Source organism: Homo sapiens, chromosome 19, assembly GCF_000001405.40.
Source record: "Homo sapiens chromosome 19, GRCh38.p14 Primary Assembly".
In the NCBI taxonomy this organism is placed as follows: Eukaryota; Metazoa; Chordata; class Mammalia; order Primates; family Hominidae; genus Homo; species Homo sapiens.
Genome location: NC_000019.10, coordinates 50,357,382 through 50,384,262, shown reverse-complemented (window position 1 = coordinate 50,384,262; position 26,881 = coordinate 50,357,382). Strand labels below are relative to the sequence as shown.

The window sequence follows — 26,881 nt, the reverse complement described above, 5'->3', positions numbered from 1 at the left end:
CGCCCCGCTTGTTCGACTGCAGGGCAGGCCCCGCCCCCTCTCTCAGCTTCCGAAGTGGCCTCGCCCCCTTGCTGAAAAATTCCCTTAACTCCGCCTCCCCATGACCTGTCTGCCCGAAGCCACGCCCCTCCGCGCGGCTACCTTCACGACCTCGTGCGGTCTGGGCGCGCCGCGGTTCTGTTCTCTCTCCTCCCACCCTCGGGTGTTGCGCGCGCATCCTCCGCGTCCCCCCGCCCGCCTCTCGCCCGGGGCCGTGTAGGGAGCGCTGCCCCGTCGCTGCCCAGCAGCCAGCTGGTGACCTGACGCCCAAGATCCCCGCAGAGGCTGGCCGATAAGCGGTAGAGTCCTGGCTTGATCTGTTCTCCTTCATCCTAGCTTCAGTTTCCCTATACGTAAATTAGACTCAACAACGCATGATAGGGACACTTGTGGGGCGCCCGGTACACTACTCTTAGGATAAGGTGATCATTGGTAACTACTCTCACTTCCGCTGTTCCCCGCCCCAAATAAATACACCTTTAAGTTGCATCCCTCCATCCAACCCCCCTTTCGCCCTCGATTGGAATTGCTCATTCAGCTCCTTCAGGGCTGGCACAGGGGCAGGAAGGATTGGAGGAACTTCGTCGCTTCGCTCCGAACTCCTGGCGTCTCTCCTTTCAAACTTTGCACGTGCTGTTCCCTCAACTTGGAGGCCCAGCCCCCAGGCTCTTGTTTTAGGTCCCAGCGATTGCCTCTGTTGTGATACCTTCCCTGATTTCCTCTAGCCCCACCACAGTGCCACGCTCATTAAAGTCCCTATCCCCCGAGTCTTGGTAGGAGGATGGTTATCTTGTTCACAGATGTTTCCAGTGCCTAGAATTGTGCCTAACTGTAGTTAATGCTCTGGAAACATTTATTGGGTGAATGTCTCCATCTCTAGAATGGCCAACCCAGTGCCTGGCCCACAGGAGGCCTCAGCAAACACTTGTTGTTCGGACAGAAGTCCAGGTCCCCTCATTCACTTAAATCCTGTTTATCCTTCAAGGGTGAGTTCTGATTCACCTTGTCCAGGGAGGTGACCCTGAGGCTGAGGCCTCTGTCCTGAACTTTCACAGCAGGCGACACACCACCCAACACTGGGACCCTATGTGCCACCCTTTTCCCAACAGCCTGGGGACACCCAGTCCCACCTGCTCAATCAGGTTCGGGCACCCAGTGTCACTGAGGTCCCTAGAAGCCCGCGCCCTCTCCATCTTGCACTCCAGCTCCGGGCTGGATTGTATTCATATTTTATTTTCCTGTTTCTGTTTTTAGTTTTTATTAAATAAAAGCAGAGGAAGAGGAAGGCCCTGGTCTCCCGGGCTAGGGGGGAGAGCCATGGGTCCTCCCCTCCCTCTGTTCAAGGTGCACTGCGTGCTGGGCTTGAGGTGTAAGCTGGGGAGGGAGGGCAGCCGGGAAGGGTCAGTGGTCGGGACCTGCAACCCTTTCACCCCTTCTGGAAGACTCGCTGGGCAGGGAGGGAGCCTCCTGGACCTGGACTGGGGCTTATCCCAAGGGATGAGAGCCGATAGGTCTACAGGCTCGGCCCAGGGCCCCTTCCACCCTAGGAAGAGGAAGGGGTGCCGGCGTCTATCTGCTGGAGGGTGGTCAGGCAAGGCTGTGGGGCTGGGTGGCCAGCCCCTCACTCGTGGACGTCCCAGATCTCCGACAGCAGAGGCGGCAGCTTCTTGTCCTGGAGCCGCAAGGCGAAGACCTGCTCCGAGTGCACAGAGCTCAGCGTGCGCAGGCTCACCAGCTTCATGAGCATGCGCGGGAAGCGCAGCTGGTCCTGAGGGAGGAGGCAGGTGGGCGCTGGCTGAGCCCCTGCCCTGCCAGGCTTTGGGAGGCCCACCCCAACAGAAAGGAGGGCCCCTCCCCGACCAGGCGTGGGAGCCAGCGTGGGGCCCGCCTCTGTGCTTGGACTAGACCTGGCTCCCAGTCGAGCAGGGTGGGGCCTGAGGAAAGACTCTGCGGAGGGGAGGGCAGTGTGGCTGGCAGAACCCAGCCTGAACGGACCACGTGGGCCGCGGGACGTAGTTGGCTCTGCGCAGAGGCTCTGCGGGGCCCTACCTGCGGCCTCTTGATGCGCGTGTAGGACAGCAGCGCCTCCACGTAGGGCTGCTGCAACGCCTCCACGCGGCCCGGCTCCTGCACGTTGGGCCGGTCGGCCGAGAAGATGTTGATGGCGATGAGCAGGGCGTACTCAGCGTCGTCCAGGCCCAGCCGCCGCATGGCCCGCGAGAACTCGAAGATGGGGTTGATGAACTCCACCTGCAGGCCTGCGGGGCGGGAGGCAGCCCGTGACTCCCTCAGCCCGAAACCGTGCCCCACATCCTGGACCCTGGCGCTGCCCACAGTCTCTGGGGCTGGGAACACAGCAGTAATTACAGCGTTCTTGTCATTTCTGTCCACCTGTGCCCCGTGCCCATGAGTGCTGGCATGTAGTAGGTGTGCCACACATGCTGCCCAGTGAAGGAATGAATGAGGGTGCATGTTTCTTCAGTATTTTCTACTATCCTATCACCACCCTCCCTTCCCACCTGGGCGGTGGCTGCAGCTTCCCGAGTCCCTATTCTTGTCCCCTTCACAAAGGCAAAGGGAAGCTTTTAAAACCTAGGTCACATCGTGCTGGTCCCAGCGCTGGCTTCCACTGCTCAAGGTAAAGCCCAAACTCATTCCCAAAACTGACTTGTTCATTCAGTCATCAAATGTCACTGAGTACCTGCCACGTGCCAGGCTCCAGCACTTACATTTGAGAGCCTAGGGGACCGGTCATAGACAAACACATTAGGAAGAGGCCCAGCCTGTCAGAGGGCTGTGAGTTCAATGGAACCAGGCAGTGCAGAGAAGTGTGAAGGGCCCTGCTGAGCCATGGTTCTATTTTACACAAGGCGGGCAGGGAAGGCTGCGCTCTGGGTGACGCTGGAGCAGTGACCAATCCGAAGGAGATGAGGGATTGTGAGGGTGACCAACGTCTGCTGTTCCCATGACTTGGGACGGGGGCTACCCAGGCCATGAGACTTTCAGTGTTAAAACTGGGAAGGTCCTGGGCAAACTAGGACCAGTTGGTCCCCCTAGTTCTGGGCAGAGGAAACTCCAAGTACACAGGCCCTTGGCTGCAGCATGCTGGATGGGTGCCAGTAAGAGGCCAGAGTGGCTGGAACAGGGGGAGAGGGTGAGAGCTGAGGGCAGAGAGTGAGCGAGGCCAGGTCCTAAAGGGCTTTGTGGGCCACAGAGAGGACTCTAGCTCTTCTCCCAGTGAGACGGGAGCCGCGGAGGGTTCTGAGCGGAGGAGGGAAGTGGGCAGCCTTAAGTGCTGACAGGACCCTTCTGCCTGTGCTGTGAGCAGCCCCATCAGGCAGGGGTGGAGGCAGGCGGCCCCTCAAGGGGACCCTGGCAGTGTTCCAGGGTGGTGGCAGAGGAGCGGCTGGGAAGGGGTAGGGTGGGATTCCCGACCTCCTCTCCACCCCATCTCCTTGTGCTCCAGCTGCCTGGGCCTCCCTGTAGTTCCTCCAAACCACCAGCTCTCCCCAACCTCAGGGCCTCTGCAATCGCCAATCTCCTCTGCCAGAAACGCTTCCCTGCAGCCCTGCCCTGCTAAGCTCATACTAAAAGGGTTACTGGGACCGTCTCGGGTGGTGAAAGGGCCGGAGTAAGAGGAAGGGGAGAGGGTGGGGTTTGGACAGATGTCGGGAAATACAGAGAGGTCCCCCAGAGATTGTGGGACAATGAGGGAGCGAGGCCCTGGTGCATGCTCTGCAGCACTAGCAATGCTCCTCCCACCCTTTTCCTAGGCAGTGCCTCTCACTGCCCAGGCCTTCTTCCAGAAGCCCACCCACGCAGGTTAGCGCTCTCAGAGGGCAGGAAGCAGTGCTCCCCTAGACAGTAAAGAAGGCTGCCCGCTTCACAATGGACCGAGCTCCAGCCCGCCTCCCTTGGGTGAGACCACGTTTTGGCGGGGGCGGGGAATGCTTTTCCTAATGCCCACCAAGATGCCTGATGTGGTAACAGGGCTCCTCCCATCTCAACTTCCACTGCAACCCAATGTACAGAGTCGGCACTCAATACATGCTTTTTTTAAAAAATAGAGACACGGTCTTCTCTGTCACCAGGCTGGAATGCCGTCGCACAATCACGGCTCACTATAGCCTCAAGCAATCTGCCCTCCTCAGCCTCGAGTGGCTGGGACTATTGGCGTGCACCACCACACGTGGCACATGCACTCTTACCTCACTCTCACCTTGGCTCAACCCTCACCCCAACTTTGGAGATAAAGAAACAGAGACTCCAACAGGGATGAGTTGGCCCCAGGTCTTCCAGCCAGCAGGGGCGCCAAGCCTCCCCGAAGCCTCCCCTGGGCCCTACCTGCACGGTGGAAGTCGTCCTTGCTGTAGGTGAAGTCCTTCAAGAAGGTGATACACTCTGTCTCGTGGTTGTAGCGCCTGGCTGTCTCTAGCAGCATGATCTAAGGGCGGCAGCGGGAGGGGGAGCTTGAGCCCTGTGACCCTTCAGCTGCTAGTCCCTCCCCTCCTGGCCCAAATGGGGGTCTAATCTCACCAGGATTATCCCTTGTCCCCTTCCCCCCTGTTCTCTCAGCCACACCAGCGTGCAGCCATCACGTGAGACAGCCCGAGCTCTTTCTCCACTTCAGGCTTCCGCACATGCTGCATCCCCATCTCCTTAGGATACTCTTTCCCCAGGTGAGCACAAGGTTTGGGGCACGGGGTTTGATCTGCTTTGTTCTTTGCCCCATATGCCAACACTTGGAATAGAGCCTGGCATACAGCACGTGCTCAATACTTATATGTTATCCCTACTTTGATTCAAATGCTAACTCCTCTGAAAAGCCTTTTTGGCAACTTTTCTCTGCAATAGCGCCTCTAGCCTGATCCTCAATTTTCTCAGCCTCAGACCCTTTTTCCTTTCTCTCCTTGGCTCATAGAAGACTCTATTCGCCGTGGAATGTCATCCTACAACGGCAAGCACTGGTCTTCCTTAACTCTGCTCCCAGCATCTGTCCTGGAGCTATCTCTGGGGTTCCTTGTGGGCAGATGGACCATTACCTCGATAGTGGATGCCTTCAGGAGGGCGATCTGGTCCTCCCGGCCCAGCTGCAGGAAACCAGGCACTTGCTTAGCGAAGTCCACGATCTCCTGGACTGAGATGATGGCCAGCTCCGTGAAGTGGGCAAAGCGTTGCTGGCGGGCATCTCGGGACTGGGGGTCTGCGCCCAGGGGCCAGGGCTGGGACACAGGAGACCAGGGTCACTCCCAGGTCTTTGTGAGCCTAAGTCTGGGTGGCCACCTTGAGGCCAAGCCTGCACCCTGGGGGATCCTCTTCCCAAAGCCCCTGCCCTCTGGAGCCTCATTCTCCCACACCCTGGGTGATGGCCCAGCTGGCTCTACCCCATTGGGACCGTCACACTCAAGGTTGTGGAGGGGGCAGTACCGTGACTTTGGGCTGGTCGGAGAAGGAGCGTTTGTTGCACTGCAGTTGGGCCGCCACCAACTGCTGGATCATTAGTTCTTGAGCCGCTGTTAGCTGGACACCCTCGCCTTCCCCGGAGCCCTGGCTGCCTGCCTCAGATCCACCAGGGGAAGCCCCAGGCCCAGAGGCTGAGCTGCTGCTGCCCTGCGGCCCCACAGGTGACTGCGACTGTGACTGTGACTCCTGCTGCTGTTTCCGAATCTTCTTCTTCCGGATCTGTTCTTCAGAAAGGACGCCTGTAGGGGGATGCAGGCCTCAGCAGAACCCCAGGGCTAGGCGGGGGGCCAGGCCGGCACCGCCCCCTCCCGCTGCACTCACACTGCTCCCTCATCCCTGCCTCCTTGCACTTGCGCAGCCGGCACTGCTGGCACTTGCGCCGCATGAAAGCGTCCATCTGGCAGGTTCCGCCACCCCGGCAGGCATAGCGCCTGGCCCCACCACGGACCACACTGCGCCGGAAGAAGCCCTTGCAGCCTTCGCAGCTGAGCACGTTGTAGTGGAAGCCGGAGGCCTTGTCCCCACAGACACGGCAAAGCTCGTGGCCCAGCATCTTCGGGGCTGGGCCCTTCTTTCGCTTGCGCTCTGGTTCCTCTTCGGGATCTGGGATGACTGGGGTGGGTAGGTAGAGGCCATGAGAAAGCCACAAGGAGAAACAGGAACCAGAGAGATGGGCCCACAGGAGATCCCCAGGCAAAGAGCCAGAGGATGGAGGGAGAGAGGAGTTGCTGCTCACATTCAGGGAAATTGCAATTTAGAAAGATGTATATGTTAAGGAGAAAGCAAGAACAAAAAGCAAAGATCAGGGCCTCCCATTCCCATTTCTATTTCTTTCTCCCTTCCTAAACCCCTCCCCAAGCCCCCACATCAACTCCAGGGCCCTGTCTCACCCCAGTCTGTGCTGCAGGCTGAGCTGGCCTCATCAGTGCCTGGGACATCAGGGTCCGGACCCCCGGGCCACGGCTCCGGACCCTCCTCCTTTACAGTGGGTGAAGAAGAAGGGGCGCCAGGCTGAGGGGGGCCATTTCCTGGAAGAGGGTGGAATCCGGGAGAGGTACAGTGAGCTTCTGCTCGTGTGTGATAAGGGCTGGGTGGGGAAGAGAGTCACTCACCAGGCAGGGGGGTATCCAGGGAACTCGTGGTAGGAGAGGACATGGTGGGGTCACGGAGCAGCCTGTAGAATACAGGGGATTGAGAGCCTTGTGGGGCTAAGAAGGGTTAGGTTAGGTCAGTTACAGGTCCTGACAGGGCTTTCCCTTTTTTTTCCATCTCTCCAAAGACCCTACTCTCAGCCACAACCCTGGTTCCTGCCAGCCTACAAACCCTCCCCATCCTTCTAACAAGACCTGCCCCCTTCTGTTCCACGCCAGCCTTCAGCTTGGTCTTAAGCCCCGCCCCTGCTGTAGGCCCCGCCCCCTCAGGTCCAATCCACCTGCTTTTTCTAGGTAGGGCCCATTCTCCTTTAATCATGCTCTGCCTTCACGGCCTCCATGCCATGTAGTTTCCCCCCACCTCCTCTTCTTAAGACTCTACCTCACTTCTGCCCCAAGCATCCCTATTTCTCATTCTGACCCCACCTCCTCCTACTATGCTCCGCCCTCAACCTTCCAGGTTCAGCCCCTAAAGCCCCCATCATGGGCCTCCCAACACCTTGCCCCGCCCCATATGCATCCCTCCCTCCAAGCCTCACCCCCACAACCTCGCTCCAGGTCCCCATCCCCTCCCATCATGCCCCGCCCCCGCCCCGCCTCCTCCCTTCCTACTGCACCCCCACAACCTCGCTCCAGGCCCCGCCACATCTCCTCCCATCATGCCCCGCCCCCAGCCCCGCCTCCTCCCTTCATGCCCCGCCCCCGCACCGCGCTGCAGGTCCCGCCCCATCACCTCCCATCATGCCCCGCCCCGCCTCCTCCATTCATGCTCCGCCCTCGCACCTCTCTCCAGGTCCCGCCCCTCTCCAAGCAACAGCGGGGGGCGGGGCTCATGGCTGCGCGCGGGGGTCTCGTGGACGGCCTCTCGCGGAGTGAACTACTCCTGTTGCCCTGGAAACAGCCGCGGGAGGCGCGAATTACCGAGGGGAGGAAATGGAAGGAGAGAAGGGGGCAGAGCGGAGTACGCGGGGAGCGCCGAGAAGCCCCGGGTTCGGGGCTCCTCCTGCGTCTCCCCACTCTCGGGTGCACCTACCTGGGTTCCCTTGCTCTGCTTTTCTTCGTCCTCCTCTTTAGCCCCTGACACACCGCCGCTACTCAAATACCCTCAAAAGTAACTTCGCCACTTCTTCCGGCAACCCCGCCCTTGCGTCACGTCCGGAAGAGGGGCGGAGCGTGAAACTTGACGAACTTCCGGTCCGCTTAGGACCAGCCGAAGCTGCTGCCCCGCACGGAAGTTGGAAACTCACCGGAAGTTTACCGGGTAGATCTACTGGGACTTGGCAGAAGAGTTCCGAACCCATTTCCTCGCTTCTTGGGAGCCAAACCTCCAGCCCCGCGCTTTGTGGCTTTAGCTCATTCATGCGCTTCTCTGAGCCTGCGGCCAAACCCTAGCTATAGCTGCTTGTCGCACATGACTGATTTAAGGCACGTTTGCACTTTTTTGGTCGTTACAAGTTTTCTGATTTTGGAGTCGTGCTGCTTGTTAGTTTTATTTATTTTTATTTATTTATTTGGAGAGGTCTCACTCTGTCACCCCAGACTGGAGTGCAGTGGTGTGATCTCAGCTCACTCCAGCCTCTGCGTCCTGGGTTCAAGAGATTCTCTTGCCTCACCCTCCCAAGTAACTGGGATTACAGGCATGTGCCACCACGCCCGGCTCATTTTTTTGTATTTTTAGTAGAGACAGGGTTTCGCCATGTTGGCGAGGCTGGTCTCGAACTCCTGACTTCAAATGATCCGCCTGCCTCGGCCTCCCAAAGTGCTGGGATTACAGGCGTGAGCTGCGGCACCGGGCTTATTTTTACTTTTTTTTTTTTGAGATGGAGTCTCACTCTGTTGCCCAGGCTGGAGTGCAGTGCCGCGATCTCAGCTAACTGCAACTTCCGCCTCCTGGGTTCAAGCGATTCTCCTGCCTCAGCCTCCCTTGTAGCTGGGATTACAGGTGCCCACCACCACGGCCGGCTAATTTTTCTATTTTTAGTAGAGATGGGGTTTCACCATGTTTGCCAGGCTGGTATCGAACTCCTGACCTCAGGCAATCCACCTACCTCGGCCTTCCAGAGTGTTGGGATTACAGGCGTGAGCCGCTGTGCCTGGCCAGATTTGAGATGTCAGAATTTTCTCATTGTTAAAATTTTGCAAAAATGGTTTCAATAACTTGGTGATTGGAAGAATTAAAAAAGCTCAGTCTCGGACCGGGCGCGGTGGCTCACGCCTGTAATCCCAGCACTTTGGGAGGCCGAGGTGGGCAGATCACCTGAGGTCGGGAGTTTGAGATCAGCCTGACCAACATGGAGAAACTCCGTCTCTACTAAAAATACAAAATTAGCCAGGCATGGTGGCGGGCGCCTGTAATCCCAGCTACTCGGGAGAGGCTGAGGCAGGAGAATCGCTTGAACCCAGGAGGCGGAGGTTGCGGTGAGCCGAGGTTGCGGTGAGCCGAGATTGCGCCATTGCACTCCAGTCTGGGTAACAAGAGCGAAACTCCGTCTCAAAAATAAAATGCAATAAAAATAAAGGAATAAAAGAATGGCTACTCCAGGTAGAGCAGCGGCTTGGGCTGTTCACTGTGATTATACTTATAGTTATTTCTTGATTATATACTAAACAACGGGTGGATTATTCATGAGTTTTCCAGGAAAAGGGTAGGCAATTCTCAGAATTGAGGGTTCCTCCCCCGTTTAGACCATATAGGGGAACTTCCTGACGTTGCCATGGCATTTGTAAGCTGTCATCGTGCTGGTGGGTGTGACTTTTAGCATGCTAATGCGTTATAATTAGTGTATAATGAGCCATGAGGACGGCTAGAGGTCACTCTCATCGCCATCTTGGTTTTGCTGGGATCTGGCTGACTTCTTTACTGCATATGCTGTTTTATCAGCAAGCTCTTTGTGACCCGTATCTTGTGCCAACCTCCTATCCTATCTCATCCTGTGACTAAGAATGCCTTAACCTCCTGGGAACGCAGCCCAGTAGGTCTCAGCCTTATTTTACCAAGCTCCTATTCAAGACAGAATCGCTGTGGTTGGAATGCCTCTGACATATGTGTATGCCTTTATAAAAAAGAAATGGGACTATGTGATCCATGCTCTTCTGTAACTTATTATGTCTACTCAGGCCCATCGTTTGAGATTGTGGAATTTTCCACCTAGGGATGTTAGAAGCGAAACAAGTGATTAACATGAGCGTTGGAAATGGCAGAACCTGGTGTCTCTGTCACTTCCTTCCTGTGTAACACTGAGCCCAGTTCCTTAACCTCCCCGTGCCTCAGTTTCCTTGCCTGTAAATTGCAAACAGGAGTGAGAAAGCCGGGCATGGTGGCTCATGCCTGTAATCCCAGCACTTTGGGAGGCCAAGGCAGGTGGATCACCTGAGATCAGGAGTTCGAGACTAGCCTGACCAACTTGCTGAAACCTGGTCTCTACTAAAAATATAAAATTAGCCGGGCATGGTGGCGGGCACCTGTAATCCCAGCTACTCAGGAGGCTGAGGCAGGAGAATTGAACCCGGGAGACAGAGGTTGTGGTGAGCCAAGATCTTGCCATTGCATTCCACCCTGGGCAGCAGGAGCAAAACTGCATCTCAAAAATAAAAAAATAAAGGCAGGGCACGGTGGCTCACGCCTGTAATCCCAGCACTTTGGGAGGCCAAGGCAGGTGGATCACAAGGTCAGGAGTTCAAGACCAGCCTGACCAACACCATGAAACCCCATCTCTACTAAAAAAAATACAAAAAAAATAGCCAGGCGTGGTGGTACGTGCCTGTAATCCCAGCTACTTGGGAGGCTGAGACAGAAGAATCACTTGAACCCAGGAGGCGGAGGTTGCAGTGAGCCGAGAACGCGCCACTGCACTCCAGCCTGGCAACAGAGTAAGACTCCGTCTCAAAATAAATAAATAAATAAACAAATAAATAAAAATAAAAAAATTAAAAAGAGTGAGACAGGAGGCTAGGCACAGTGGTTCATGCCAGTAATCCCAGCATTTTGGAAGGCTGAGGCAGGCAGATCACGATGTCAGGAGATGGAGACCATCCTGGCCAACATGGTGAAACCCCATCTCAACTAAAAATACAAAAATTAGCTGGGCGTGGTGGCACGTGCCTGTAATCCCAACTACTTGGGAGGCTGAGGCAGGAGAATCTCTTGAACCAAGGAGTCAGAGGTTGCAGTGAGCCGAGATCGCGCCACTGCACTCCAGCCTACCGACAGACTGAAACTCTATCTCAAAAAAAAAAAAAAAAAAAAAAAGCGAGACAGGAATAACACAGGGTAGTCACAGGAGAATAGAAAATTCCAGGCAGCAGTTTCACATGACTAGCAAAAGGAAACTGTTGAAATAGTTGCAGCAGGTGGGGGCTGATAAGACTCTTGAAAACCCTAGGTGTGGACCAACCTGGCTAAGACACATTGGACCCAACAAGGCCCTACATATGACCTAGGTCTCACCTAGGACCTCGTTATATGCTCATTAACATAAACACACACCCACCAGCACCAGGACGGTTACAGGAACACCCATATTTGGTGTAAAAGTGGGTGGCACCACAGTTCTCAAAAATCTCCTTTTTCTAGGAATCTTCATGAATATTCCACTCCTTGATTAAAGAAATCCATAGTACATACCTGTAGTCCCAGCTACTCAGGAGACTGAGGCAGGAGAATCGCTGGAACCCGTGAGGCGGAGGTTGCAGTGAGCCAAGATCGTGCCACTGCACTCCAGCCTGGGGACAGAGCAAGACTGTCTCAAAACAAAAAGAGAGAAACCCATTAAGGTAGCAGCCCCAAACCCCCCCTGCAGGAGACTCTCTCTGGAGTCCACCTGTACTCCTCTTTGTTGAGTGTGTACTTTTCACTTTGCAATACATCTTTGTACTTTCAGTATTTTCCCACTTGTCCTCAAGTTCCTTCCCGAGATGGTGTCAAGAGCCTGGACATTGGCTGGGGTGGAGGTCCCACACCAGCATATGGGGACTTCCCCTAGCCCACCGGGATCAAGAGTATGACCTTGTTGCCTTACTCTTATGACTAAATGAGGTAAAAGCATAAACAGGGTGGGTTTCAAATGAGGTGCCTGATATGGTGGAACTGTATTTATATTTATTTATTTATTTATTTATTTTTTTAAGATAAGATCTCACTCTGTCGCCCAGGCTGGAGTGCAGTGGTGCCATCTTGGCTTATTGCAGCCCTGACCTCCTGGGCTCAGGTGATCCTCCCACCTCAGCCTCCAGAGTATGTGGGACCGCAGGCATGAGCCACCACACCCAGCTAAGTTTTTACATTTTTGTTAGAGATGGGGTTTCGCCACGTTGCCTAGGCTGTTCTTGAACTCATGGACTCAGGCGATCTGCCCACCTTGGCCTCCCAAGGTGCCGGGATTACAGGCATGAGCCTCTCATCCAGCCTGTATTGATTCTTGTGGCTGTTAAAGTAGTTCTAAGTTTCCACTGTTAGAAAAGTGCAAGAGTCCTGAAATAGGCTGAAGAGGAATTACAACACTTTTGGGACGAGTCACATTGCACTCAGTCTCGGTTGACCTACTGGTAAATAGGATAAATCGTTCTTCCTTTTTTCTTTGAGTTTTGCTCTTGTCACCCAGGCTAGAGTGCAGTGGCCCAATCTTGGTTCACTGCAACTTCTGCCTCCCGGGTTCAAGTTATTCTCCTGCCTCAGCCTCCTGAGTAGCTGGGATCACGGGTGCGCACCACCATGCCCGGCTAATTTTTGTGTTTTTAGTAGAGACGGGGTTTCACCATGTTGGGCAGGCTGGTTTCAAACTCCTGACATCAAGTGATCCACTCATCTCAGCCTCCCAAAGTGCTGGGATTACAGGCATGAGCCACCACGCCCGGCTTTGTTCTTATTTATTTATTTATTTATTTATTTGAGACAGAGTTTACTCTAGTACAGTGGCGTGATCTCGGCTCACTGCAACCTCTGCCTGCCGGGTTCACGCCATTCTCCTGCCTCAGCCTCCTGACTAGCTGGGACTACAGGCACCTGCCACCACGCCCGGCTAATTTTTTGTATTTTTAATAGAGACAGGGTTTCATCATGTTGGCCAGGCTGGTCTCGAACTCCCGACCTCAGGCAATCCACCCACCTCGGCCTCTCAAAGTGCAGGAATTACAGGCGTGTGCTGCCGTGCCCGGCCTCTTGTTCTTATTTCTTATGAAGGGTATGAGGATCCCGGAAGCGCAGTGCCTGGCATACAGAAGCACTCGGTCACTGGCAGTTTTGTTGTCTGAAGGTAGCTGTGGACCAAGGTTCTCATTTGTAAGTAACCCAATATTCTCTAATTTTTTTGGTAATAGCTTTATTGAGATTTGGTTCACACACCAAACAATTCAGCACTTTCAAGTACAATTTAATGGTTTTTAGCAAGTTCACGGGTTGTGCAACCACCACCATAACCAATTTTAGAACATTTTGGTCAGTCCACAAAGAAACCCCATTCCCATAAGCAGATATACCCGTTGGCCACGGTGGCTCACACCTGTAATCCCAGCACTTTGGAAGGCCAAGGAGGGCAGATCACAAGGTCAAGAGATTGAGACCATCCTAGCCAACAAGGCGAAACCCCGTCGCTACAAAAATACAAAAATTAGCCGAGTATGGTGGCAGGCACCTGAAATCCCAGCTACTCAGGAGGCTGAGGCAGGAGAATCGCTTGAACCCAGGAGGCAGAGGTTGCAGTGAGCCTAGATCACGCCACTACCCTCCAGCCTGGCAACAGACCTAGACTCCATCTCAAACAAACAAAAAACAGTTATACCCAATTCTCCCACCCTTTTCTTCCAGCTTGAGGCAGCCATTAATCTATATCTGGCTGAGTGAGGTGGCTCATGCCTGTAACCCCAGCACTTCGGGAGGCCAATGCTGGAGGATTGTTTGAGCCCAGGAGTTTGAGACCAATCTGGGCAACATAGGGAGACACCCCCACCCCCATCTCTACAAAAAATTAAAAACTAAGCCATGCAGGGTAGCGAATGCCTCTTGTCCCAGCTACTCAGGAGGCTGAGATGGGAGGATCACTTGTGCCCAGGAGGTTGAGGTTGCAGTGAGCCATAATGGTACCACTGCTCTCCAGCCTGGGTGACAAAGCAAGGCTCTGTTTCAAAAAAAGAAAAAATTATATGACTTTATGGAATTTTCCTATTCTAGACATTTCCTATAAATGGATCGTTGGAATATGTAGCTCTTTGTGACTGGCATCTCTCACTGGGCATAACGTTTTCTAGGTTCATCTACTTTGTAGAATGTATCAGTACTTCATTTCTGTTTATGGCACAGTAATAGTCCATGGTATGGATATACCACCTTTTACCTACCCATTCGCCAGTTAATGGACAGGTGGGATGTTTCTATTCTTGGCTGCAACGCTGCTATGAACATTCATGTACAAGTTTTTGTGTAGACATATGTTTCATTTCACCTTGGAGTGGGATTGCTGGGTCATGCAGTAACTCTATGTTTAACTTTTTGTTTTGTTTTGTTTTGAGACAGTGTCTCACTCTGCTACCTAGGCTGGAGTGGGGTGGCGTAGTCACAGCTCACTGCAGCCACGACCTCCTGGGCTAAGTGATCCTGCCATCTCAGTCTCCAGAGTAGCTGGGACTACAAGCATGCGCTAGCAAGCCCAGGTAATTCTTTTGTAGAGACAGACTCACTATGTTCCCCAGGCTGGTCTGGAACTCCTGGGCTCAAGCAATCCTCCCACCTCAGCCTGCCAACGTGCTGGGATGACACGTGTAAGCCACCATGCCCGGCCTATGTTTAATATTTTGAGTAGGCCAGGTGCAGTGGCTCATGCCTGTAATCCCAACACTTTGGGAGGCCAAGGCGGGCAGATCACCTGAGGTCAGGAGTTCGAGACCAGCATGGCCAACATGGCAAAACTCCGTCCCTACTAAAATTACAAAAATTGGCAGGAGAATCGCTTGAACCTGGGGGTTCGGAGGTTGCAGTGAGCCGAGATCACAGCCACTGCACTCCAGCCTGAACAGAGCGAGATTCTGCCTCAAAAAAAAAAAAAAAAAAAAAAAAAAAACACTAATGCGAGACCTCGGGAAGGTGCGATATAAGATCATAGAGGGAACGCAGGTCCGAACTTGAGGCCTTGTGGGGTCTGATGTGGCCCACAGTGCCTGAGAGTCACCCAAAGGGTCCCCCACTCTTGGACACACAACTGGACTACATTTCCGGGTCGTCCTTGCAGCCAGGAGCAACCACGTGACAGATTCCCACCAATGGAACAGGGGCAAAAGTAATCCTGGCAAAGACGATGCGAGGCATCTGGGCTGATTACTTGGTGTCTGCAGCTTCAAGAACCAGGTTCAATTCCCCTCCAAGTGCACCTGGGCTGCCTCCTCTTAATCTTGCTGCACCGCAGCAGCCCCTCCCCAACCCGGTAAAATGTGGGCGATAATTCCTTTCTTACAAGGTTAGTAAATAAAATGACGGGTTTAAAAATCTGGCAATCCTTTACCTAATCACTTCCTGAGGGGATTCGGGAAAGATTGTGTTGGGCGATTCTGGAAACTGTGCTCCTCTGATGGTGGAGGCCCACTCGGTCACAACCCCCTGAGAGACAAGACATGGGGAGATCCAGGTCCCATTGGCCGGGCCGTGTTCGGCAGGAGATCTCCCAGTACGCTTGGGCAGGGGAGTCAGGGAGGAAGCCTGTTCTGCTCCTTTTCCCGTGGGGTGCAGAGAGCGAGCAAGTCGGCATTCCAGGCGGTGGGAACTGCTAGGGCGGAAGCAGGAAAGCTGGAGAGAGCCTGGTGTTCCAGGGGTCCAGCTCTAGAAACGGGTGGCGGCTGGGGAATCTTGGCTGGGAAAACAGGCCCACACCTCCACCTTGTGGCCAATTGGGAATTTGCAGGCACGGCCTCTCAAACTACTTAAGGGCGCTTGGGTGCAGTTGGATGGGGTGCTGCAGACGGAAAGCGTGCGGGGCGAGTTGAAGGGGCCCAGATCGAGTGCTCTGACTGAGAAAACAAAGGGGGGTGGTGACAGTTATCAGGGACACGTTCGGCTGCTTCAGGAAAATCCCCCAGAGCAAGGAGTGCACAAAGTGGATCTTTACCATTATTTATGTATTTATTTATTTCTGTTGAGACAGTGTCTCACTCTGTCACCTGGGATGGAGTGCAGTGGCGTGATGACGGCTCACTGCAGCTTCAGCCTCCTAGGCTCAAGTTATCCTCCAGCCTCACCTTCCCCAGTAGCTGGGACTACAGGAGTGTGCCATTACGCCCAGATAATTTTTACATTTTTTTTGTACAGACAGGGTCTCCCTTTGTTGCCCAGGCTGGTCTCCAACTCCCAGGCGCAAGCGATCCTCCTGCCTCAGCCTTCCAAAGGGCTGGGATGACACCCCCAGCCTCCCAAACGCACCCCCACCGCACCTAGCCTTTCTTTTGTTTCTTTTTTTTTTTTTTTTTTTTTTGAGAGGGAGTCTTGCTCTGTCGCCCAGACTGGAGTGTAGCAGCGCGATCTTGGCTCACTGCAACTTCCGCCTCCCAGGTTCAAGTGATTCTCCTGCCTCGGCCTTCCGAGTAGCTGGGATTACAGGCGCTGACCACCACGCCTGGCTAATTTTTGTATTTTTAGTAGAGACAGGGTTTCACCATGTTGGCCAGACTGGCCTCGAACTCCTGACCTCAAGTGATCCGCCTGCCTCAGCCTCCTAAAGTGCTGGGATTACAGGCATGAGTTACCGCATCCAGCCGATTTCTAAGGGTTTTGACTCCAGTCCCTGGCTCACTGACTGTATCTCTGGACCCACCTGGGACCTGAGGTAACTTGATGCCCTGAAGGGAAGGATGCAAGCATGGCTGCCTTTGGAACCTGCTAGTTTTAGAGCCCAAGGGCCTTGAGCAAACATAAGCAGTAGGCAGGTAGGTCGTGGTTACAGGAGGCCATGGGCAGGACCCAGCGCAATCCCAGTGATAGTAGGCATGGGGTGTTTGTGTCACCCCACTCCCAGCTCCAGGTAGCTCAGCAGAGAGAGAGAGACAGAGACAGAGAGAGAGAGAGAGAGAGAGAGAGAGAGAGGGAGAGAGAGAGACTGACTCTGTTTGAGAGAAAGCAAGGGAAGAGAGCAAGAGTCTCTGCCTGGTAATCCAGATAAATCTTCTGGATCTTATCTAAGACCACTAAGATAGTACCTCTATGAGTTTGCAAGAACCACAGCATTAATGGGCTTGGGGAGCCCCCTAATGCAGACATGGCTTAGATCACAACACCCAAGTACTTTTGAATACCTGGAAAGCCTCCCCAAAAAGGACAGGTACAAACAAGCCTTGTCTGCAAAGACTACAATAAATACCTAACATGGCCAGGCATGGTGGCTCATGTCTAATCCCAGCATTTTGGGAGGCTGAAGCAGGAAGATCACCTGAGGTCAGGAGTTTGAGACCAGGCTAGACAACATGGTGAAACCCTGTCTCTTCTAAAAATACAAAAATTAGCTGGGTGTAGGCTGGGTGCGGTGGCTCATGCCTGTAATCCCAGCACTTTGGGAGGCCGAGGCAGGTGGATCACCTGAGGTCAGGAGTTCGAGACCAGCCTGACCAATATGATGAAACCCTGTCTTTACTAAAAATACAAAAACTAGCTGGCATGCGCCTATAATCCCAGCTACTTGGGAGGCTGAGACAGGACAATCGCTTGAACTCAGGAGGCAGAGGTTGCAGTGAGCCAAGATGGCGCCATTACACTCCAGCCTAGGCAATAAGAGTGAAACTCCATCTCAAAAAAAAAAAAAAAATTTAGCCAGGGTGGTATCGGGTGCCTGTAGTCCCAGCTACTCGGGAGGCTGAGGCAGAATTACTTGCACCTGGGAGGCAGAGGTTGCAGTGAGCTGAGATCACACCATTGCACTGCAGCTTGGGCAACAAGAGCAAAACTCCATCTAAATAAATAAATAAATAAATAAATAAATAAATAAATAAATAACTCATCAATGCCCAGCCACCAATGAACATCTATAAGCATCAAGGCCATCCAGAATAAATGACCTTACCAAACAAATCAAATAAGCCACCAAGGACCAATCCTTGAAGAAACAGAGATATGTGACCTTTCCGACAGAGAATTTAAAATAGCTGTTTTGAGGAAACTCAAAGAAATTCAAGCTAACACACAGAAGGAATTCAGATTCCATCACATAAATTTAACAAAGAGATTGAAATAATTGAGAATCAGCTGGGTGCAGTGGCTCACGCCTGTAATCCCAGCACTTTAGGAGGCTGAGGCGGGCGGATCACCTGAGGTCGGGAGTTCTAGACCAGCCTGACCAACATGGAGAAACCCTGTCTCTACTAAAACTACAAAATTAGTGGGGCGTGGTTGCGCATGCCTGTAATCCCAGCCTGGGCAACAAGAGTGAAACTCGGTCTCAAAAAAAAAAAAACCAAAAAACAAAAACAAAAACAAACAAACAAAAAACAATACCCAATGATCTGTTGTCAACAAGAAACATACTTCACCTACAAATAAAACAGTAAGAGACTGGGTCCTGAAATGCGGGCCCACTTCATATGTGAGGGCAGGTGTCTAATCATGTCCTTTCTCCCTTCCCCCAGGCCCTTCACAGATACCTGCTGGTCTCTCCCACTTGGCCAAGGAAACACTTGTGGTTAATAAGTCTCAGAAAAGTTATGTGAAAGTTAAAAGTAAAACTGACAGCAGCTGAAGGATGGGGGGGTGGGAGGTGGTGACGGTGGAGGAGACCCCACCACCACTGCCACCCAAGTAGGGAGTGAGGAGCACCAGGAGCACAGGATGCTACTTCTGCCAACCCTACAAAAATACTCTGCACAAATCTTCAAAAAACATCCTTGTCCCACTGCGTCACCTGCGGACAGATTTCATGTCCTGGTCTCCTTCTAAACCTGGAGGTGGGGCATGAACAGGGTGGAGTCACAGGGGAAAGAAAATGAGGCCCCAGGACACCTGGGTTCACACCCAGGTCCCCAGCGATGTCTCCACCACCGCTGCTGCAACCCCTGCTGCTGCTGCTGCCTCTGCTGAATGTGGAGCCTTCCGGGGCCACACTGATCCGGTATGGTGACCCCATCTACCACCCCAACCTTAGGAGGGATTTTCTGCCTCTTGCCCTTTAAGTCTAGGACTCCCAGTTCAGTGATCCCCAAACTTGGCACCCAGGATCCCTAGAGCTTCTTTCTCAGCTTTCCAGATCTCTAAACCAGGCTGTCACCCCTAAGGGCTCCACTCTGACATCTCTTAAGACCAGATTTCTTTTTTTTGAGATGGAGTCTCACTCTGTTGCCCAGGCTGGAGTGCAATGGCATGATCTCAGCTCACTGAAACCTCTGCCTCCTGGGTTCAAGCGATTCTCCTGCCTCAGCTTCCCAAGTAGCTGGGATTACAGGCTCGCGCCACCATGCTCAGCTAATTTTTGTATTTTTAGTAGAGACGGGGTTTCACCATGTTGGCCAGGCTGGTCTGGAACCCCTGACCTCGTGATCCGCTCACCTCGGCCTCCCAAAGTGCTGGGATTACAGGCGTGAGCCACCGCGCCTGGCTGACCAGAGCCCTTTTATTATTATTATTATTATTATTATTATTTATTATTATTATTATTATTTGAGACAGAGTCTTGCTCTGTTACCCAGGCTGGAGTGCAGTGGGGCGATCTCAGCTCACTGCAACCTCTGCCTCCCGGGTTCAAGTGATTCTCCTGCCTCAGCCTCCCAAGTAGCTGGGACTACAGGCACATGCCACCACGCCCGGCTAATTTTTGTATTTTTAGTAGAGATGGGGTTTCGCCATGTTTGCCAGGCTGTCTTGAACTCCTGACCTCAAGTGATCTTTCCGCCTCAGCCTCCAAAAGTGCTGTGGTTACAGCTGTGAGCCCCCGCGTCCGGTCCCAGAGCCCTTTTAAGTCCCAGATCTTACAACACTGAGACTCTAGATTGAGGACCCCTCCCCCTCCTCTCAGGACTTTTTTTTTTTTTTTTTTTTTGAGACTGAGTCTCACTCTGTTGCCCAGGCTGGAGTGCAGTGGCGCAATCTTGGCTCACTGCAAGCTCTGTCCCCCGGGTTCACATCATTCTCCTGCCTCAGCCTCCCAAGCAGCTGGGACTACAGGCACCCGCCACCACGCCCGGCTAATTTTTTGTATTTTTAGTAGAGATGGGGTTTCACAGTGTTAGCCAGGATGGTCTCGATCTCCTGACCTCGTGATCCACCCACCTCAGCCTCGCAAAGTGCTGGGATTACAGGCGTAAGCCACCGCGCCTGGCCTTTTTTTTTTTTTTTTTTTGAGACGGAGTCTTGCCCTGTCGCCCAGGCTGGAGTGCAATGGCGCGATCTCAGCTCACTGCAACCTCCACCTCCCAGGCTGACACCATTCTCCTGCCTCTGAAAGTGCTGGGATTACAGGCGTGAGTCACCATGCCCGGCTAATTTTTTTTGTATCTTTAGTAGAGATGAGGTTTCACCATGTTGGCCAAGCTGGTCTTGAACTCCTGACTTCGTGATCTGCCTGCCTCAGCCTCCCAAAGTGCTGGGATTACAGGCGTGAGCCACTGCGCCTGGCCAGGACATGTTTTTGAGAGGTCTCTGCAGACCCTACTATGAGCTCTGATGATTAGGTACTGTGGTTTCCAGACCTGTGACACACTCCTCCCATCTTCGAGCCCCAGATATGTGACATTTAAACTGAGACTCCCCCACATCACGCCCATCAAACTGGCCTGAAGAAGTCATGTTTTTGGCCAGAGACATGGCTCACACCTGTAACCCAGCACTTTGGAAGTCCAAGGTGGGAAGCTTGTTTGAGGCCAAGAGTTTTGAGACCAGCCTGGGCAACATGGCCAGACTCCACCTCTACAAAAAATACAAAAATTAGCTCAGTGTGGTGGTGCACACCCATGGTCCCAGCTAGTTCAGGAGGGTGAGGAAGGAGGATTGCTTGAGCCCAGTAGTTCGAGGGGGCAGTGGGCTATGATCCTGCTACTGCACTCCAGGCTGGGCAACAGGGTGACACCTTGTCTAAAAAAAAAATTAATAAATAAAATAAAATAAAATAAAAAGCCAGGTGTGGTGGTGTGCCCATAGTCTCAGCTACTCCAGAGGCTGAGGTGGGAGAATCACTTGAGCCCTGGAGATCAAGGCTGCAGTGAGCCCTGACTGCACTACTGCACTCCAGCCTGGGTGACAGAGGGAGACCCTGTTTCAAATAAAAAGTTTAAAAGAAGAAAAAGAAATCCAATCTTGGGGACCCTATGCAAGAAGTCTTCCCACTACCTTACCTCTGATGTCCCCTCCCCGCCCCCATCTCTCTTTTTCTCCTCTCTTGTCTTCATTCCCTGGAACTCTTGGTAGGGGGAGGGGTGTACACTTCCAGGAAGAGTTTTCCCCACTTCACATTCTCGTGCCTCTCAAAGACTGACTCATGGGGGGTGACGGGAAAGGTGTGAGTGATGTGACAAGTGCTTCAAGGAGTGACTAAAGGCAGGAACGAAGATATTACCGCACATGGTGCTTGTTAACCTGCTTTTTGAACCTAATGTCTCATGGCCATTTTCTAAGTCAATGCAAAGAAAATGAGTCTCCAAATGTTGTATCAACAGCATCGTCATGACCTGGGAACTTGTTAGAAATCCAAATTCTCGGCTCCATCCTAGACCTACTTAATTAGCAACTAAGATACCTGAATTGTAATTGGCCCTCTAAGTCAAGGGTTGCAAACACTCAGCTTAAGGGCCAAATCCTGTTTGCCTCCTGCTTTTGCAAATACAGTTTAAAGGAACCCGGACAGGGCATAGTGGCTCTCCTCTGTAATCCCAGCACTTTAGGAGGCTGAGGCCAGGAGTTTGAGATCAGCACGGGCAACACAGCAAGACAATTAAGATTTGACGCTTACATTTTTCTCCTCAAGGGTGGGGAAAATAGTCCCTAACCTCACGAACTGAAGCATGCAGGGGCCACCACCCAAGGGCTTTTGCAAAGGTTAGGTTTTCTGTTAGGGTCTTGGGAAATCTTTAAGAATGTCAATTCCTTGGGAATAGCTTATTTTAAGGGATTTGGACATGGAAAGGTCTGTTTGGGATGGTTTGCTCTTGTAAAGTCTTTGGGGATATTTGTCATCATGGCATCTTTGATGGGCTTTTCTGGAGGTTGTTATTGCAGGGTTTCTGGTACTGACTACTATTGTAGTGCCTTGGAGATGTTGAATTTGTCATCATATCCTATTTGGGTAAGTCTATTTAGAGGTTCTCCAAGAAGGGCAGCTTCCTGTCAATATCCTCTTTCCCTACAGCATCCCTCTTCATCGAGTCCAACCTGGACGCAGGATCCTGAACCTACTGAGGGGATGGAGAGAACCAGCAGAGCTCCCCAAGTTGGGGGCCCCATCCCCTGGGGACAAGCCCATCTTCGTACCTCTCTCGAACTACAGGGATGTGAGTCACAGCCCCACACAGCCCTCACCCCTGCGCCCTTGAGCCAAACTCTTCGTTTACTCTCCTCTTTTGCTATCAGGTGCAGTATTTTGGGGAAATTGGGCTGGGAACGCCTCCACAAAACTTCACTGTTGCCTTTGACACTGGCTCCTCCAATCTCTGGGTCCCGTCCAGGAGATGCCACTTCTTCAGTGTGCCCTGCTGTGAGCTTCTATGTGGGAGAATAAGGCTGAATGGGGGTGAAGGGAGGAGGCGGGGCTGGACCTCAGCTTCTCAGAGGCTTTTGAGGAACTGTTCTTTTATCATGCCCTCACAGGTCAGAAAGTCAAAGGGGCAGTAGGCACTGGGGAGATTCCCTCCCCCATGACACCTTTCTGACCTCTAACCTAGGGTTACACCACCGATTTGATCCCAAAGCCTCTAGCTCCTTCCAGGCCAATGGGACCAAGTTTGCCATTCAATATGGAACTGGGCGGGTAGATGGAATCCTGAGCGAGGACAAGCTGACTGTGAGTGGCCTTTGACTCTCAGAAGTCTTGAGCCTGGGAGAACCCCATTGTCTAAGATCATCTGGCTTAGGAAGAGGCTCGAGGAGGAGCTTCCCAAGCCAATGGATGGGGCTTTTCAAGTGGGGAGGAGGGCCTGCCTTTCAGAGTGAAGGGATGGTGCGTCACAAGGAGGGGGAGGGGCTTCCTGGGTGAAGAGGTGGGGCTTCTCAAGCAGGGGGGAGGAGCTTCCAAGGTTAAGAGGTGGGGCTTCTCAAGCAGGGAGGAGGAGCTTCCTGGGTGAAGAGGTGGGGCTTCTCAAGCAGGGGAGGAGCTTCCTGGGTGAAGAGGTGGGGCTTCTCAAGGAGAAGAAAGGGGTTCCTGGGTGAAGGGGTGGGGCTTCTCAAGAGGCATAGTTTCCTAGGAAGTTGGGGCTTGCATCCAGAAGTCCCCAGACCTAGGATTCATGCCTTGGTTTGGGAGACCTCAGGACATGTGGTTATTGTCCTCCCAAAAGTAACTGGTCACATCTCAATCTACCCCTAGATTGGTGGAATCAAGGGTGCATCAGTGATTTTCGGGGAGGCTCTCTGGGAGCCCAGCCTGGTCTTCGCTTTTGCCCATTTTGATGGGATATTGGGCCTCGGTTTTCCCATTCTGTCTGTGGAAGGAGTTCGGCCCCCGATGGATGTACTGGTGGAGCAGGGGCTATTGGATAAGCCTGTCTTCTCCTTTTACCTCAACAGGTACTGGGAAGTGTGCACCTATCTATGAGTCCTATCCCCAAGAAGGAAGAGAGTCTTCCTTCAGGAAGTCACTGACCCAATGCAGGAATTCTCATTCTCAGAGTCACCCACTTACACTGTCCATTCAGGAAGTCAGCCATTCAATACAAGAAGTTGCATCCTCCATGCAGGAAGTCACCTGCCCTATAAAGAAACACCTCAACCCTATTCGAAGTCCCAGAGCTTAAATGACAACTTAAGACATACTAAGGAAACCCACCATCAGTTCAGAATGCTCCATGTTTCAAAATCAAACTAGGAAATTCCATGCCCCACCCAACAAAATACTCAGGAGCTTTCTCTTCCTCACAAAGAATGCTCAAATCCCATTTGAGAACACTGACCAGAAGTCAGGAATTGCCCGATTTAATCCAGGAAGTCCCACTCACCTGCTAGGAAGTTCAGTATTATGCTCAGAAGTCCCACCCAACATCCAAGAAGTTTCCAAGAAGTCTCCACTTTCCCTCCCAGAGGCCTGTCACACACAGTCAGAAAATCCTATGCCCACTCAGTTACCCTGACATCCAACCCACTCTAGCAGTTCTACCAACCACCTAGCAGATCCTGCTCTCCTCCACCTTCCAGGAAGTCTCCATCCCTGTTCCCATCGCTCTCAGCCAACTCAGGAAGTCTAACACCTCTCTAGATATCACAACAGGCAATTCAGAAATTCTCTTCTCCTACTCAGGAAGCCACCCCACCCCTGCACAAGTCACACCTTCAAGAGCCAATTCCAAGACACCACTGCTCTACTTGGTTACTATGATATTCAGCTCAGGAAATTCCCCAAAACTCTACCTTCCACAGCCAAATGAAGTCTCGTCTTCACTTCAGGAAGTTCTAGCTTCCACCAAGAAAAGCATCATGCTTTTCTTGCCCGGCTTCCAGTCCCAACATCTAGGCCCTTCCTGCATCCCATTACCCCGTAGGAACTCCAGAAACAACCCAGTTGGTGGGAAGTGCCATTCCTGGCAATACCTAGGGCTGAGGGAGGGCCAGTGACACTGACATCTACACTCTCTACACTCTGCCCCTGCAGGGACCCTGAAGAGCCTGATGGAGGAGAGCTGGTCCTGGGGGGCTCGGACCCGGCACACTACATCCCACCCCTCACCTTCGTGCCAGTCACGGTCCCTGCCTACTGGCAGATCCACATGGAGCGGTGAGGGACTTGGTCTCCTGGCTCTGGAGCTGGAGGCTGGGGGCCTGGACTCCTAGGACCCTGCCTCTGATGACTGCCTCCTTCCCCCTCAGTGTGAAGGTGGGCCCAGGGCTGACTCTCTGTGCCAAGGGCTGTGCTGCCATCCTGGATACGGGCACGTCCCTCATCACAGGACCCACTGAGGAGATCCGGGCCCTGCATGCAGCCATTGGGGGAATCCCCTTGCTGGCTGGGGAGGTGAGGTCCCAGTCTGGTGGGTACGGGCTGGGAAGGCTGATGGCAGTTTGACAGTGAACATCAAAGGGCCTGAGGGTGGGAGGCAAGTATTTAAGGGGCTTTCCAGGGCAGCAGGCACTGGACTTCGTGACAGATAGTCTGGAGGGTGGTGGAGGAATTGAGGACACTTTCCACGTGTCTACACTGCGACTCTGCGGATGGTGGCCGGGTGGAGGGAGACGATCATGCAGGTTTGCTTGGGACTGCGTAAGTCTAGGCGGCAGGGCCTCTGCACACAGGACGCTGAGTACCCAGGTGCTCAATAGGGAAATTACCCTATGGCACTGGGGAGCCACGGAAGGGACTGAACAGAGCAGGAATCTCTCATCTTCACTAGTTCCTCTTCTCCCCCAGTACATCATCCTGTGCTCGGAAATCCCAAAGCTCCCCGCAGTCTCCTTCCTTCTTGGGGGGGTCTGGTTTAACCTCACGGCCCATGATTACGTCATCCAGGTAGGTGGCCATCACCATGACGCCATAGTGACGTCATATGACGGTTTGAGAGGGTAGAGCTGAGAGACGTCACTAGGAAGGGAAGGGGCCACAGAAACATTTCTTTTCCCTGTGATGGCAGTTTGTTGGCGAACATCAAAGAACCCGAGGGTGGGGGGGATGGACGGGCTCCCAGGCAAATGGCCGTCCTTGTGGCCGCGACACCCAGTTGTCGTCTTGTTGCCTTGCAGACTACTCGAAATGGCGTCCGCCTCTGCTTGTCCGGTTTCCAGGCCCTGGATGTCCCTCCGCCTGCAGGGCCCTTCTGGATCCTCGGTGACGTCTTCTTGGGGACGTATGTGGCCGTCTTCGACCGCGGGGACATGAAGAGCAGCGCCCGGGTGGGCCTGGCGCGCGCTCGCACTCGCGGAGCGGACCTCGGATGGGGAGAGACTGCGCAGGCGCAGTTCCCCGGGTGACGCCCAAGTGAAGCGCATGCGCAGCGGGTGGTCGCGGAGGTCCTGCTACCCAGTAAAAATCCACTATTTCCATTGAGCGAACCTGCCTGGGTTGCTTCTTTTCAGAGCGTACTTTTTAACGAGAAAGCTTTGTGACCGGGCGCGGTGTCTCACGCCCGTAATCCCAGAACTTTGGGAGGTCGAGGCGGGTGGATCACCTGAGGTCAGGAGTTCGAGACCAACCTGGCCAACATGGTGAAACCCCGTCTCTACTAAAAATACAAAAAAAATTATCCGGGAGTGGTGGCGCATGCCTGTAATCCCAGCTACTCGGGAGGCTGAGGCAGGCGAATGGCTTGAACTTGGGAGGCCGAGGTTGCAGTGAGCCAAGACCGCACCATTGCACTCCAGCCTGGGCAACAACGAAACTCCATCTCAAAAATAATAATAGAAAACTTTGTGCCTGTACCCATGGAGTTGAGGAAGAGGGAGGCGAAGGGTATCACCCCTTTTCTCCAGGACGCACCCTGGTGAGGGGTTTTGTAATACGAGTCCCATGAAGCCCCTCGCCTACGCTACCTTCCGTCAAAAGCTCCCGGCGCCGTGGAGCATCACGGTCGTTGTAATCCACGCCGTGGTCACGCCCTGACGGGGGCGGGCGCAGCCACAACATGGGTGGGAGGCGACAGGTTGCGACGGCAGCGACAGGTGGCAGTGGGGGTTGGCCGTAATTGGTAAGGGTTTACCAGTTCCTGTTCAAGGGGGCAAGGATACCATTCCCCCGGATCTCATCTCCTGTTTCTCCTCTCTCCCTCCGGATTCCTAGACCCCTGGGGAGCTCGAGGCCCCCGGGTTCGGGGAGCGGTGCTGCCCCACCCGCGGAGGTGACGTCACTCTCCCCTCCTCAGCCTCTTGCTACCCAGAACTAAATGATTCGACAAAACGACCGGTCGAAAAATCTGGCAATCCTTTAATCGCATCCCGAGGCTTCTGGAAGAATTGTGTTGAGCGATTCTGGGGACCCCGAAAAGAGTCAGGCCTGAGCCCCATCTCGAGAGTGTGCTGCTCTGATGGTGGAGGCCGACCTGATCACAAACCGCTAAACTACTAAACACGGGGAGATTCAGGTCCCAGTAAGCTCGGGCAGGAGAGTCAGGGAGGAAGCCTCTGTTCTGCTCCTTTTCCCGTGGGA

General features: G+C 53.4%; 2 protein-coding genes and 1 long non-coding RNA gene across 7 annotated transcripts in view, besides 6 other annotated features; 1 reads left to right on the top strand and 2 right to left on the bottom strand.

Moving 5' to 3' along the window:
• Positions 23-142: a silencer, noted in NCBI's record as "silent region_10960". NCBI's record gives its function as "represses an Ori minimal core promoter by ATAC-STARR-seq in GM12878 lymphoblastoid cells {active_cell/tissue: GM12878}" and the evidence as "EXISTENCE:reporter gene assay evidence [ECO:0000049][PMID:35858748]".
• Positions 153-252: a silencer, noted in NCBI's record as "silent region_10959". NCBI's record gives its function as "represses an Ori minimal core promoter by ATAC-STARR-seq in GM12878 lymphoblastoid cells {active_cell/tissue: GM12878}" and the evidence as "EXISTENCE:reporter gene assay evidence [ECO:0000049][PMID:35858748]".
• NR1H2 (nuclear receptor subfamily 1 group H member 2) lies at positions 875-7,806 on the bottom strand. 2 transcript variants are annotated; one of them, NM_007121.7, is made up of 10 exons: positions 7,687-7,806; positions 7,437-7,544; positions 6,615-6,676; positions 6,393-6,530; positions 5,824-6,114; positions 5,467-5,741; positions 5,082-5,261; positions 4,384-4,483; positions 2,089-2,297; positions 875-1,807 (listed from the first exon to the last, which is right to left on the bottom strand). In NM_007121.7, the coding sequence occupies exons 3-10, from the start codon at positions 6,655-6,657 to the stop codon at positions 1,661-1,663; spliced, it is 1,383 nt and encodes a 460-aa protein (NP_009052.4). In that variant the 5' UTR covers positions 6,658-6,676; positions 7,437-7,544; positions 7,687-7,806; the 3' UTR covers positions 875-1,660. The 2 variants fall into 2 exon arrangements, with proteins under 2 accessions (NP_009052.4, NP_001243576.2); NM_001256647.3 differs by lacking the exon at positions 5,824-6,114.
• Positions 7,086-7,897: an enhancer, noted in NCBI's record as "NANOG-H3K27ac-H3K4me1 hESC enhancer chr19:50879623-50880434 (GRCh37/hg19 assembly coordinates)". NCBI's record gives its function as "activates a minimal SCP1, AML or CMV promoter by ChIP-STARR-seq in primed H9 embryonic stem cells {active_cell/tissue: H9 hESC(primed)}" and the evidence as "EXISTENCE:reporter gene assay evidence [ECO:0000049][PMID:30033119]".
• Positions 7,176-7,265: a silencer, noted in NCBI's record as "silent region_10958". NCBI's record gives its function as "represses an Ori minimal core promoter by ATAC-STARR-seq in GM12878 lymphoblastoid cells {active_cell/tissue: GM12878}" and the evidence as "EXISTENCE:reporter gene assay evidence [ECO:0000049][PMID:35858748]".
• The window catches only part of LOC105372437 (uncharacterized), a 43,757-nt gene continuing 27,762 nt past the window's right edge, over positions 10,887-26,881 (bottom strand). The window contains exon 4 of the long non-coding RNA XR_007067299.1: positions 10,887-11,392. This is a non-coding gene — a long non-coding RNA (uncharacterized LOC105372437). The remainder of the gene's footprint in view (positions 11,393-26,881) is intronic.
• Positions 14,961-25,786, top strand: NAPSA (napsin A aspartic peptidase). Of its 4 annotated transcripts, NM_001436336.1 has the most exons (10): positions 14,961-15,097; positions 18,246-18,724; positions 21,950-22,091; positions 22,171-22,294; positions 22,482-22,600; positions 23,123-23,322; positions 24,401-24,523; positions 24,616-24,760; positions 25,154-25,252; positions 25,483-25,786. In NM_001436336.1, exons 2-10 carry the CDS (start codon positions 18,642-18,644, stop codon positions 25,708-25,710), a joined length of 1,263 nt encoding a protein of 420 aa, NP_001423265.1. In that variant the 5' UTR covers positions 14,961-15,097; positions 18,246-18,641; the 3' UTR covers positions 25,711-25,786. The 4 variants fall into 4 exon arrangements, with proteins under 4 accessions (NP_001423265.1, NP_001423266.1, XP_016883001.1 ...); XM_017027512.2 differs by lacking the exon at positions 14,961-15,097 and having other exon boundaries at positions 18,624-18,724; positions 22,509-22,600; NM_004851.3 differs by lacking the exon at positions 14,961-15,097 and having other exon boundaries at positions 18,624-18,724.
• Positions 15,421-15,480: an enhancer, noted in NCBI's record as "active region_14984". NCBI's record gives its function as "activates an Ori minimal core promoter by ATAC-STARR-seq in GM12878 lymphoblastoid cells {active_cell/tissue: GM12878}" and the evidence as "EXISTENCE:reporter gene assay evidence [ECO:0000049][PMID:35858748]".
• Positions 18,274-18,423: an enhancer, noted in NCBI's record as "active region_14983". NCBI's record gives its function as "activates an Ori minimal core promoter by ATAC-STARR-seq in GM12878 lymphoblastoid cells {active_cell/tissue: GM12878}" and the evidence as "EXISTENCE:reporter gene assay evidence [ECO:0000049][PMID:35858748]".